Raw genomic sequence first — 13062 nt, 5'->3', positions numbered from 1 at the left:
ATATACGGATGTAGTGAATATAACTATTTCATGTATCTTAAGGCATTTTCAAGCTGTCAACATCCTTGTGTATACCCTTCACCCAGTTACTATTTCTTTACCAATAAAAGTTGAACAGTATGGGTTAATTCCCATTTCCTAGCTAGCTTTCAGAACTGTGCACAATGTACACACTTCAATGCATCCTTACCATTACCTGGTGTTAGGGTCTTTGAAAATGTGTTAAGCTTAAAATGGCTTATTTTACCTGTTACCCCCTTACATCCCCCTAAACCTTGGCATTGTAGTATATTCAATTCAAAATTAAAATCAACCCAATGTATTTGACAATCCAATTTTTGCAAAACAATCCTTACATTTACGTCTGTGACATGCACATGCAGACTCAAATTTCATCATTTTCTGAATATTTTGCAGTTTATGTAAGAATGTCCTTTTATTCTAAGAAAACAAGGGTAAATATACTTTTGTTGGAAATAAGTCCACACCTGTCCTTTATTATTCCAGGACCTAAGTATTAAACTGAAATTATTAGACATGCCTTTTTTTTTTGAGACGGAGTCTCGCTCTGTCGCCCAAACTGGAGTGCAATGGCACCATCTCTGCTCACTGCAAGTTCTGCCTCCCGGGCTCACGCCCTTCTCCTGCCTCAGCCTCCCGAGTAGCTGGGACTACAGGTGGCCCACCACCACGCCCAGCTAATTTTTTGTACTTTCAGTAGAGACAGGGTTTCACCATGTCAGCCAGGATGGTCTCGATCTCCTGACCTTGTAATCCACCCGCCTTGGCTTCCCAAAGTGCTGGGATTACAGGTGTGAGCCACCGCACCCAGCCTAGACACGCCATTCTTTAAGATTACTTAACTGCACAGAACATGAAACCAGTGTTTGAATACAAGCAAAATGAGTATGCATTAAGTCTAACAGCTAGCGAAGAATCCTCAGCTGGCTTCAACTTATAAAGTATTTCACTTGAAAAAACTATATTGGGAAAATGTGCTTAATAGCTATTAAGGCTAGAAATCCAAATACACACATTTCAAAAAATAAATTATCAAAAGACCTACCCCCACAAATGAATCCAACAAAACGGATGATCATTACCCACATCATCCTTACCCTTTTCCCTTTGTGTCAAACGGCAGTGTCGTTTAAGACTACTAAATTTCATGAAAGGTTTTCCCCAACTTACTCTCACCATACAATACTGAACCACTCCACTGCCTTTCAAGATCAAACTAGGTAATTCCAACATCTGTAATGTCCTCTCCCTCCTAGCAACCACTTTTTTCTCCTAGTTTGTTTCTATTTACTAACTCGTTTATCCTTTTTTCCCCCTCAAAGGTTCATAGATTCCTCACATGTATCACCCAAATATCTCATATATTGTCTTTCAAGACCTATTTTAGGCAACAAGGGTTGATAACTTTAAAAATTATTTTTCCTTCCATGCCTATTTCCCATGGCTTGTTTCCCATATAATAGAATCCACATCTTTAAAAATAACTGATAAAGGCTCACTCCAAGTTTCCTGTTGTTTTATTACTTACTGGTAAAATAAGTCAAAATATTCACCTATAGTGTTTAAGTCACATGAACATTGTGAAGTGACAAAACAACACACACATTTCTAAAAATATTTTAATGAAAAAGTTATCTTTCTGTAAACATTTCATTATACTACAAATGAAACATCTGAATCCATTACAGAACACTTCTGAATTCTTAAAAATCAGAAAACATACTTAAGTTTTAAAGTAATTTTGAATATTTAGATAGGCTAACAATCCTTACATTACCCTTGCACACTGGCATGCTTATTCACTAATTTGTGACATTACTGGAACTCCCAAGATACTGTCAGGTTTCAATTTGTGATTATTATATACTGGAACTCTTAAAACCAAGCCTATTTCAATTAGTTACTTAACAAATATACTTTATTACCACATATTCTCCTTTAGGACATGAGTATAAATTCAGCTTTTTAGAAGTGTAATATTAGAAGCAGTAACTTACAAATTGGTTTAACAAAATCAGTTAAATCTGCCCCAATCACTTATATAACAACTTTTTTTTTTTTACTGCTGCTACAACTTCTGAGAATACTGTAGTTTTCAGAAACGACAATGGAACTGTTTAAATAAAATAATTTTATTTCATAAAAAGAAATAAACTAGAAAGAACAATGCCCTTAAAAAAAAAATGTTTGCTTCACTAAAACCATGTTGTGAAGGAAATTCATCAAAGGCTGTTACCTTATTCAACACGCGTAGAAATTGGGTTCTGATTTAAATAGAGCCAACCAGTCATTTTCTGAGACTAAACTCTGGCAAACTGCTTCTTCATGTAGGGAATTGATAATTTAGAAACTAGTTTGCATTTTCAGTATGTCTCCAAAGGATTTTTTTTTTTAAGTAAACTATCCGACTAAATTGTTAAGCCCTTTTGGGGCAGCAAAAACAGCCCTTATTACCCATCAACAACCAGTTTGAACGGTAATTCAGTGTTCTTTGGGAAAATGTGTTTTTACAAAGGAGCAGTAATTAGGCCCCCACTGCTTAACAGATGAACCAAAACAAAAAAGGAACGAAAATGTAACCTATTGGTCCAATGAATTCCCTGAATTTAAATGCAAGACAACTTATGAGGCCACTTGAAGACCAACCTTTACCCATGACATCTGGTAACTTTTCTTCTTTGAGATGGGGTCACCCAGGCTGGAATACAGTGGGGCAGTCAGCTCACTGCAGCCTCGACTGCCTGATATCAAGGCAGCCTCCCAAATAGCTGGGACTACAGATGTGTATCACCAAGCCCAACTAATTTTTCTATTTTTTGTTGACAGGCTCTCACTATGTTGCCCAGGCTCGTCTCAAATTCCTGGACTTGGGATCCATCTGCCTCAGCCTCCCAAAGTGCTGGGATTACAGGCGTGAGCCACTGTGCCTGGCCCTGGTAACTTTTAATGTTCCTTTGAAGGTGTTTTCCTAGTATGAGGATGGGCAGCTTACTGAGTCTGTTGTGTGTCATGCTTACACACCAAAACGGTTTTCACAAAAGCTGAAACCACTTTACCAAAAATTGAGTTTACCCTGAAGACACAAAAAATGAATTGTATACACAAGGAGTCACAACTGACTTGATATGAATACTTATGGCTATTTCGCAGGGGAATTTTTAAAACTAAGGTTTAAAACGTGTAGGACATGGTACCAAGGTAGTTTTCAGTTGAAGAATTTTTCCAATGTGCCTACTAGAGAGGGACAAAGTTGTGAAATATGTAATGTAGACTTGCAGGGAAACAAATGGTGTCATCAGGTTTTACTGTCAACTACAAACCTTACCCAGCCAGAAACCTTCGTATTTTAGATGGTAGGAAAGACATTCCTCATTTAGGCAAGTAGGGTTCTCATTCAACCTGCAAATCAAAAAGATTACTCTTACCTTGCTTTACAAAAAATTACTCTTTAATTAGTGAAAAAATTCAAATTCAAGCCTTACCTAATGCTTATTGCCCTTCCTTGCAGGTCTAAATGCTAGACCTAGTGACTGTGGCAACTATCTCTCATTGATGTTCCAAAAGGCGAAGAGCTCCTTCCTGCTAGACTTTCTTCGATATTTCAGTTGTAATAAGCAGATTTAACTAGCTTTTGGAAAGTTGCTCACTATCATCATAGTATCTTATGCCTTCACTTCTCTGTAGTTGAAGCTCTTGCTGCTGCCTTGTCATTCTTTATTTATGCTGACTTGTCCAAACACAAAAGGCTGCTGAAGTCCTGTCTTAGTGAGTTTCTGTGATCCACACTGTGCTTAAAAAGCACATCTTAGGTCCTTTAAAGGTGGTTAAATCGCTCTCCTCATGGCTTACTTTTCCACACTGTTCACAAGAGCTAAGCTAATACAACTTATAAACAGGTCACATACACAGATTTCACCTGCTTATAGGTTGTAAACATCAACTTACTGTAAATGTTTTCACTATAATACTAGTTCCAGAACATAGAAAGTTGGTTAACAGTACAATTAACCTCATGCCATTAAAGGATACTGTCAAGGTTGTGTCAAACAATTTCACAAACATAAAACAGGAAATGTTAATCTCCCCCATTCCTTTAAACTTTATTTATATGAATAAAAGAACTTGAGACAATTTAGCTCAATTTTAATGTTTCCCAAGCATTATTTTGACCAGGTACCCAGGTTTAAGTTATGAACATTGACAGTGTCCATTATATAACCACACTTGAAGTTATTTAGGACTTAACCATTTTCTAATATTAGCCTATTTTCTACACTGCTTTTCACATATATGCCCATTAACAAATGGAATGTCTGTTACATTTATTGGTTTGTGAATGTTTCTGGAAAACTGCAGTATGTGTGAAGACCAATTTCCATGCTGGCATTGCATGCATCCAAATATTAATGCACAGAGGCACAGAATTAGAGCAACAAGAGAGCATATTCAAACACTAGCACACCCCATTCCCCTTTTTATTGCTTGTTTGCTTAGTACTTCTTAAAACAAAAGACTTGAATTCAACGTTCAACTACCAAAGAGAGTAACAGCAGGGCACATACTCAGGGCTCGAATGAAACTGTAAGCACTAGCTGGAGCAAAACAGTAGACATTGGTTTATATTAATATATGTATATATGACCTTATTAACTAAAACTCTTCTCAACCAGGGCCTTCCAAACAAATTGGTAACAACATGATTTATGTTGAAATATACACAAGAAATAACAGTGTGTTCTTTGGGAATTTAAGAACTCAGACTATCCAAATTTGAATTCAGGTCTGTAGGAAGTGAGAAGCCTGTACTAAGCAACTGTGCTACATTTCTGCTGCAGTTAGGTTATTTTGGACAATTATACCTGAACTATCCTTGGTTTCATCCAGCAAAATGTATAGAATACAAACAGGAAAGCATGCCAGCCAGTTAGGGGTTTAATAACACATGATTTTTATTCTCTTGCTCTGAAAACTTGTATCAAAAAAAAGAATTTAAAGTAACTCAAGATTTATGGGCCTCTTGTGCTTTAAATAAGAAAAAAAAGGTACCCACTAATTTGCTCAGATATAGCAGGCTTAATGGTTCTATATTTTCAAAAGTTTTTAAGAATGGTTTCTAACGTAGGAGAGGGAAAACATCCACCATCCCTTTTCAGAATTTAAATGGAGGGCAGTAAACATTCTTTACACCCAAAACCTATGGCAGCAGTTCAAATTTGACCAAGGTAAATGTAGAATAGAGATGTTCTAAACACAGCTAGGACTCAGCAAGTCTAACACACTAAAATCATATGATTACATTTTAAAAGAAAATGCACAAAAACCAAATAGAAATTTTGAGATTTTTTTTCATTTGAAGGTAATCTTAATGCTATTAAATTCACAAATGCTAATTTAAATACCCAATCCTATTTATCTAAAACACACATTGCAAACACACAAATTATCTATTCTCTCCACATGTCAGCGCCCATTCATATCATGGTTTGGAAATGGGGAGAATAGATTCCCCTTAAACTGCAAGTCAGCAGGTGTTTCTTTACAGTTAACTTTAGCAAAATTCATACAAAATAGTAATTAACAATGATCTTCTTTACTTGTTAACTCACAAGGAAACACCTTCGAAACTGCATTTTGTTAAAGTTTCTGTACTAAAATGTAGAAAAACTGAACTACACAAATATTGAAAAGTTAAAAATTCCTTAATTTTTTATTCCTGGTACCACTACCACAATTTACAGGGCAATATACCTGATGTAATGAAAAGAAAAAGAAAAAGACAAAGCTACAACAGATAAAAGACCTCAGGAATGTACATCTAATTGACACTACATTGCATTAATCAATAGCTGCACTTTTTGCAAACTGTGGCTATGACAGTCCTGAACAAGAAGGGTTTCCTGTTTAAGCTGCAGTAACTTTTCTGACTATGGATCATCGTTCCTTCTGTGGCAGATTTTTACAGTTCCTCTAATGCATTTGGGACGACTGTCTCAAAGTAACCTGCAGCTTTCCTGACAACTCCTCGCTCTCTCTCCTGCTAAGAACTGTAGCCTGTTGAATAATACAGGATAAAAAAATTATTACACTCAGTGAACAGTTCCACATATTCTTTTATCATCATAATAAAAATTTAAAGATACCTACCCTTTTCTGCTGTTTTTAGAACCTTCTGCTACCATATCCACCACTTCCACCACCAGATCCATAACCACCTGAAAATATACATAGTATTTTAAAAGAAGTATGCACATTTTTTAAATTAAAAAGGCTCTAAAGAATTGATTTAAGAAAGTACTTACCACCATAGGGACTGCCCGAGCTTCTTCCACCAAAACTGCCCCCTTTCATGGGTCCATAATTTGATTGCTGTTGTCCACTATAATTTCCAAAATCATTATAGTTCCCACCACCACCATAGTTACCTGAAATCAGAAAGGTTTTATGTGTGGTTTACCTACACAATCATCATTTTCCCCTTTTAACGTATGTAACTATTATCTTTTGAGAATTATGGTAGCATGCTTATACACATCACTGTGGTAGCACCACTTGGGGTAACTGATGTCAGGATATTAAAAGACCATCAACATTTTGTTTATATTAAATGCTGTCCTCTAGGCGCATGTTCTCTCTACCATTAACACCATTAAAATTGCCAGTGTTCCATTCACTATGATTCTGAAGCAGTATAACATTTAAAACAATGAGAAGGCATTCTAACTTGTTAAAACTTCCACTCATCTGTCATTGACATGTTAATTAGGTCCAATAAAACAGTGCATTCCTAAGAAAGCTTTTAACAGTATTGTGGCTTAATGACCTACATACACTAGCTTGCTTAAACGCTTCAACTACCTGTGACATATTATATTAAGACCCAAAGTACTTTGTTAACCTGGGCCCTAGATGGCAACCTGCTCACTTCAACACGTCTGGAGTATTCAAACAATTTATTCCCGGTTGTCCAGTTTAAAAGTACCAAGGAGTTAAGTAAAATTTTGGCAATAAATAAACTCCCAATCTTTTACACGTAAAACATGTACTGAATACTGGTAAATGTCCATTTTTTACTACTCAACTAAAAATTCAGTACATTTGGCTGAGTGCAGTGGCTCATGCCTGTAATCCCAGTACTTTGGGAGGCAGAAGCGGGCAGATCACAAGGTCAGGAGATCGAGACCATCCTGGCTAACATGGTGAAACCCCATCTCTACTAAAAATGCAAAAAAATTAACCGGGCGTGCTGGCATACGCCTGTAGTCCCAGCTACTAGGGAGGCTGAGGCAGGAGAATCGCATGAACCCGGGAGGCGGAGATTGCAATGAGCTGAGATCACGCCACTGCACTCCAGCCTGGGCAACAGAGCAAGACTCCATCTCAAAAAAAAAAAAAAAAAAAAAAAAAAAGAAAAAAGAGAGCTGAGTACATTTGTACATTTTACTAAATAACCAGCAAAGTCAAGAAAATTTGGTTTGAACTACCAACCATTTTAGTATTTTTCTTATAGAACATAAAATTTGATCAAACGCTTTTAACACTTTCCAAATATGTGTCATGGGAACTGTTAGCAACACTGAATATTTAACATTTAAATAAAACAAGTGAATGCTTACCACCGCCAAAATTTCCTCCTTCATTGTAACCATCATATCCTCCACCTCCACCATATCCACCACCTTGGTTTCCATATCCTGGTCCACCACCACCATAGCCCCCTCTACTACTATAACCAGGACCACCGCCATAGTTGCCACCTAAAAAAACAACAAATAACAAGACCACACAAAAACTTAAGTGTATAGTCACGTTATTCAATTCTGGTGTGTGTGTAAGAGACTGGGTCTTGCTCTGTTGCCCGGGCTCAAGTACAGTGGTGCAACCACAGCAATGCAGCCTTGAACTCCTGGGCTCAAGCCATTCTCCCACCTCAGTCTCCTGAGTAGCTAGACTATGGGCATGTGCCACCATGTTCCCCTATTTTATTTTTCTAGATATACGGTCTCCTTATGTTGCTCAGACTAGTCTCAAAATCCTCACCTCAAGCAACCCCTCTGCCTCAGCCTCCTGAATAGCTAGAATTACTCAACTCTGGTTTTATATTACATTTAAGCCACTGGCAAATAAGCCAATGAATTGATTTAGCACTCTGAAGCCTGGTAATACCTAATAATAATAGAGTATCAAGTATCTGCACTAGTAAGAATGAAAAATAAATGTGTAACCCATCTTCTGATAGTAAAAAAGAAAATCAGTTTTCATTTTACAAAATTTCACTAAGAAAAATATAGTCTCAGACTTAATAGAACAATTCTAGCTCAACCCCTACTACTTGCTGAAAAAGAGCAGCTAATGTCTCTCCAGGGGAAAAAGGGTTCCTGTTCTTCCATGTACAGTTTGGAAATACACCTTAACCATTTAGCCACTGAAGTTTTAACTAAAATTAGAAAAGTGTAATAAATAATTTTCAATAAGTAAAGAAAGTTAAAATATCAAACATCAATGAAAATAAGCCACCTACCATCACCTCCAAATCCATTATATCCACCATCACCTCCTCCATAACTACCTCTGCTGCCACCACCTCCACCACCATAGCCTCCTGAGGAAAAACAAGAAATGAATTAAAATAATATATTCAACTTACCAAAATGTCAGGTATCCATGTACTTAGAAGATAAACAGCCTACCTCTTCCACCAAAGTTTCCACCACGGCCAAAATTACCTCCACCACCTCCAAAGTTCCCTCCGCGACCCATAAAATTGCCAGATCCACCTCCACGACCTTTAATACAGGCAAGGGAGATTTTTAAGAACCTTACAAACACCACTCATATCCACTGTATACATGTGTATGGTCCTACTCACCTCTCTGTGATCCAGCAGACTGCATCTCTTGTTTAGAAAGGGCCTTTTTCACTTCACAATTATGCCCATTAATAGTGTGGTATTTCTGAACTAAATTTTTTTTCAATCAAACAAAACAAAAAGTTATTTTATGTTTGGAAAAGCACATATATGAGATACCCTCTGTCATTATGTAACCCATTAAGACATAATCAGGTAGTGACTCTGGTAATGAAGGAGCATTCTGAGATGTTTATGTTTATTTCTTGATCTGGATACTGATTACACAGGCAGACACTATGAAAATTGACTATACACTATAAATGCCATTACACGCAACAGAAAATTACAATTTAGCAAATTTAGTTCAAAACAGAAAAACCAGTTCTACTTTCTCATTCAAGTTACCATAAATTGCTACTTACCAACAATTTTATCAACTGTATCATGATCATCAAAAGTTACAAAAGCAAATCCTCTCTTTTTTCCACTCTGCCTGTCTTCCATAACTTCTATGGTTTCAATCTTGCCATACTTTTCAAAGTAGTCTCTCAAATTATATTCTTCTGTATCTTCTTTAATACCACCAACAAAAATTTTCTTCACTGTTAGATGGGCACCAGGCTTTACAGAATCCTACAAATAAAGTAATATATTAAGTCAAGAAACAAACTTTCACAACAATTTCACATATTACACAATGTATTATTAAAATACCTCTCTAGAAACAGCTCTCTTTGGTTCCACTACACGCCCATCAACCTTGTGTGGTCGAGCACACATTGCTGCATCCACCTCTTCAACACAAGAATAAGTCACAAAACCAAAGCCCCTGGAACGTTTTGTTTGGGGGTCTCTCATTACCTACAAAATAAAAAGTTTTATAACGTTGAAAACACCTCCACCGGTTCTCTACACCCCTTAGAACCCTTCTGTTCTCTTAGTAACTTACCACACAATCTGTGAGTGTGCCCCATTTCTCAAAATGTTCTCGTAAACTATCATCTGTAGTTTCAAAGCTCAGACCACCAATAAACAGTTTTCTCAACTGCTCTGGTTCCTTTGGATCATGGCCCTGAGAGAAAGAACCAATACTCTTAAGTTACCTTACAGTAGATGAATTAAGATGCACGAAGAGCCTTTAATGTACGGTAAGTAATAAAATCAACATCAAATTCCTGTGACAGTTAACACTTTGTCCAGTTAAAACTTTGACCAGACACCGGCGCGATGTCTCATGCCTGTAATCCCAACACTTTGGGAGGCCGAGGCAGATGGATTACCTGAGGTCAGGAGTTCGAGACCAGCCTGGCCAACACGGCGAAACCCCATCTCTACTAAAAACACAAAAATTAGCTGGGCGTGGTGGCGGGCGTCTGTAATCCCAGCTACTCGAGAAAGGAAAATCGCTTAAACCCAGGAGGCGGAGGTTGCGGTGAGCCAAGATCATGTCATTACACTCCAGCCTGGGCCATAGGAGCGAAAACTCCGTCTCAAAAAAACAAAACAACAAAAACTTTGACCAGAAATAAGACTTCAACTGTTAAAGGGGCTAACTTATGTCAAGGAAACCTATAACCAGCCTTTCAAATGCCAGCATCACTTCAACTAAATTGAAATCCAAGACAATTCCAGAATCAAAAAATCGCTTCATTTTTTAAAAGCTACAACTGTCTGAGAACCTTTACTTTAGAAGTTGCTAGTAAGTCATTTTCTAAGGCACTAAACTGTTGGAGAAGCAGTGTTGCATCTATCCCATTTCAACTCTTCTCAGTCTACAACCCAACATGCATTTAATTTTTTTGTTTGTTTTGTTTTTGAGACTGAGTCTCGCTCTGTCGCCCAGGCTAGAGTGCAGTGGCGCGATCTCGGCTCACTGCAACCTCCGCCTCCCGGGTTCACGCCATTTTCCTGCCTCAGCCTCCCGAGTAGCTGGGACTACGGGCGCCCGCCACCGCGCCCAGCTAACTTTTTGTATTTTTAGTAGAGACGGGGTTTCACCGTGTTAGCCAGAATGGTCTCGATCTCCTGACCTCGTGATCCGCCCGCCTCGGCCTCCCAAAGTGCTAGAATTACAGGCGTGAGCCACAGCGCCCGGCCCATACATTTAAACTCAAAACTGTGATGAAGAACAATCTAAAAGTTCTGAATGTCAAACTTACAGAAACTCACTGCTTTCAAGCAAATTAATTTAAAACAGGCATTCCTAAGCCAAACCAGCATTTCCCAAAAAAACTGAGGAAAAAAAAAAGCCGATCAAATAGCTTTCTATAACCCATGTTTGTTATATGCTGCAAAAATCTGCAATTTACAACTCAATTTTAAGAGTCACAACTAACTGGCAAGTTGGACTTACATTAGGAATGGTATGTATTGTCTGACTATAAGAACGGAGTACAGCAAAACAAAAATTGAGATTTTTAAGAATTAAGATGTCTTGAAATTGTTTTATACTTTAGTCAAGACTTTTTAACACATTGCATGAACTGTCATTTAATGCATGCATTAAGGTTTCCTTCACCCGAAGTTCTTAAATAAGGGGCTCACATTTACATTCTAATGTCTTCCTGTGTCTCCTAGAGGTAGAGATGTTAAACCGTTTAATGTGAAGAGATTGTCACATGCTAGAAAAAAACGTTAATAGCCTAAAGCATTAATTCATGTAATCTCATCTTTTCAAGTCTTGGATAAATGTATTCGATTGACAATAACGAAATCGACAAAAATATTTAGGATCCACATTAAATGTACTGCAAAAACGTGAAAATTTCAACTCTGGTTGCAGTCCTCTAAATAAAATTCCAGGAAACTACAACCAGAGCCGACTCAAAGAATGGGAAAACATGAAGATAAAAAACATTTCTAAATTCTTCCTTAACATACTATACTCAAATTCTTCTCCACCCACCCTCCTCAGCGGCCGGAGCCGGGAAGGAGCTGGCTGGGTTGTTTTTCACATCTACACTCAAATTCTCAAAAATTAAGTCCTTCGCCCACATGGCGGTTTAAGAAGTGTAATGTAAGTACTTTAGCAAAAATATATCAGGAAGTATTTTAAAGCAGCAAAGTTTTTAACAATCTCGTATTTCCAACAGGATGCTGCGAAAAAAAGAAAAGGCCAATTATCGACTTCTCGCGGAGAGGACCCGTAAAAGGCCTAGAAAAGCGTCGGCAGAACTTCAGCGAAAGCACTACCTCCCCATGCTTCGAGGCCATTTGCGGCTTTTTCTGCCGGGCCGCCTCCGCCCTCTTCCCTCCAATCCCAGGCTCGCTTTCCCGGCGGCAGAGCGAGGCGGCGGCCATTGCGGGCCAATGCGCCATTTCGTAACGCGGCGGCGGATCAATGTCAATGTGGCCGCCGCCCGCTTGCTCGCTCGCCCGGATGTGCCTGCTCGTCCCCTCCCCTCCCCCACCACCTCCTCCCAACCGCTCCCGCCGGGGCCCGCCATGCCGCCCTCGGCCTCGCTTCGGAGGCCGCGCAGCCGGCAGGCCGGCTTCCCTCCCGAGGCCTCCCCGACCAAGCCGCGCCTCCAAGGGGCCGCCTGTGCAGCCGAAGGTGAAGGCGAGGCGGGCGAGGGGCCCCAAGGAGGTCTCCAACTCTCGCTCCCCTCCCCCTCCCACAGCCTGTCTCAACGCAAGAGCGCGGGACGGCCGACCCGGTCCACCCGGCCTCCCCGCTCCCACCGAACCAGGCCCCCAACGCCGGCCATTCCCCACCAACCCCCCGCTCTCCCCCTAATACCTCCTCCCCCCGGCGGCGACGGCGACGGCCGGAGTCGGGCTGGGGGCGACCGGGCGGCGGTTTTACCTCCATTTTGAGACCGGACTCGCCTCTTCCAACTCGAGTTCAATATGGGACCGAGAGGAAGAGGCGGGGCCAGTCGTCACGTGACGCGTTTTCCGCGCGCCGCCAGTCTGTTGGGGGAGGAGCGAATTGGGAAGGGGGCGGAGCCAAGCGGGCGCGAAGAGGGACTGGACCAGCGGGTTGGCGGGCGGAGGGCGGAGGCGCGGCGTGCCGCGGGAGCGCGCGCGCCTCGCCAGCTTTCAGGGGAAGAGGGCCTTTGCCGCCGTTCGCGTCAGGGCGAGTTCCGGGACGTCAGTGCGGTCTCCGCCAATGGTGAGCGTCCACGTAGAGGGAACGCCTTGTGATCGCGCGTCACCAGAGAGAAAGGCCTTTCCCTTTCTTCTCGCGCTTG

The 13062-nt window shown here is 40.1% G+C and overlaps 1 protein-coding gene and 1 non-coding gene across 9 annotated transcripts, besides 4 other annotated features; both read right to left on the bottom strand.

The window, feature by feature from the left end:
- Positions 1-1520: 1520 nt before the first annotated feature.
- HNRNPA3 (heterogeneous nuclear ribonucleoprotein A3) lies at positions 1521-12686 on the bottom strand. 8 transcript variants are annotated; one of them, NR_138470.2, is made up of 12 exons: positions 12609-12686; positions 9819-9941; positions 9584-9730; positions 9292-9502; positions 8888-8977; positions 8709-8804; positions 8540-8620; positions 7635-7775; positions 6321-6443; positions 6166-6233; positions 3504-6072; positions 1521-3420 (listed from the first exon to the last, which is right to left on the bottom strand). NR_138470.2 is itself a non-coding variant. In NM_194247.4 (11 exons), exons 1-10 carry the CDS (start codon positions 12678-12680, stop codon positions 6181-6183), a joined length of 1137 nt encoding a protein of 378 aa, NP_919223.1. In that variant the 5' UTR covers positions 12681-12686; the 3' UTR covers positions 1521-6072; positions 6166-6180. The 8 variants fall into 8 exon arrangements, 7 of the variants coding, with proteins under 7 accessions (NP_919223.1, NP_001317178.1, NP_001317176.1 ...); NM_194247.4 differs by having other exon boundaries at positions 1521-6072; NM_001330249.2 differs by lacking the exon at positions 3504-6072.
- Positions 10784-10853: a silencer, noted in NCBI's record as "silent region_12143". NCBI's record gives its function as "represses an Ori minimal core promoter by ATAC-STARR-seq in GM12878 lymphoblastoid cells {active_cell/tissue: GM12878}" and the evidence as "EXISTENCE:reporter gene assay evidence [ECO:0000049][PMID:35858748]".
- Positions 12048-12719: an enhancer, noted in NCBI's record as "NANOG-H3K27ac-H3K4me1 hESC enhancer chr2:178077489-178078160 (GRCh37/hg19 assembly coordinates)". NCBI's record gives its function as "activates a minimal SCP1, AML or CMV promoter by ChIP-STARR-seq in primed H9 embryonic stem cells {active_cell/tissue: H9 hESC(primed)}" and the evidence as "EXISTENCE:reporter gene assay evidence [ECO:0000049][PMID:30033119]".
- Positions 12048-13048: a biological region, named in NCBI's record as "NANOG-H3K27ac-H3K4me1 hESC enhancer GRCh37_chr2:178077489-178078160".
- Positions 12259-13048: a silencer, noted in NCBI's record as "silent region_12142". NCBI's record gives its function as "represses an Ori minimal core promoter by ATAC-STARR-seq in GM12878 lymphoblastoid cells {active_cell/tissue: GM12878}" and the evidence as "EXISTENCE:reporter gene assay evidence [ECO:0000049][PMID:35858748]".
- Positions 12681-12754, bottom strand: MIR4444-1 (microRNA 4444-1). The gene has a single exon (NR_039646.1). It is a non-coding gene; the product is annotated as a microRNA 4444-1 (primary transcript).

Source organism: Homo sapiens, chromosome 2 (assembly GCF_000001405.40).
Source record: "Homo sapiens chromosome 2, GRCh38.p14 Primary Assembly".
NCBI classification, from domain to species: domain Eukaryota; kingdom Metazoa; phylum Chordata; class Mammalia; order Primates; family Hominidae; genus Homo; species Homo sapiens.
The sequence above is the reverse complement of the archived record's forward strand: the minus strand, read 5'-3'. Positions and strand labels throughout refer to the sequence as shown.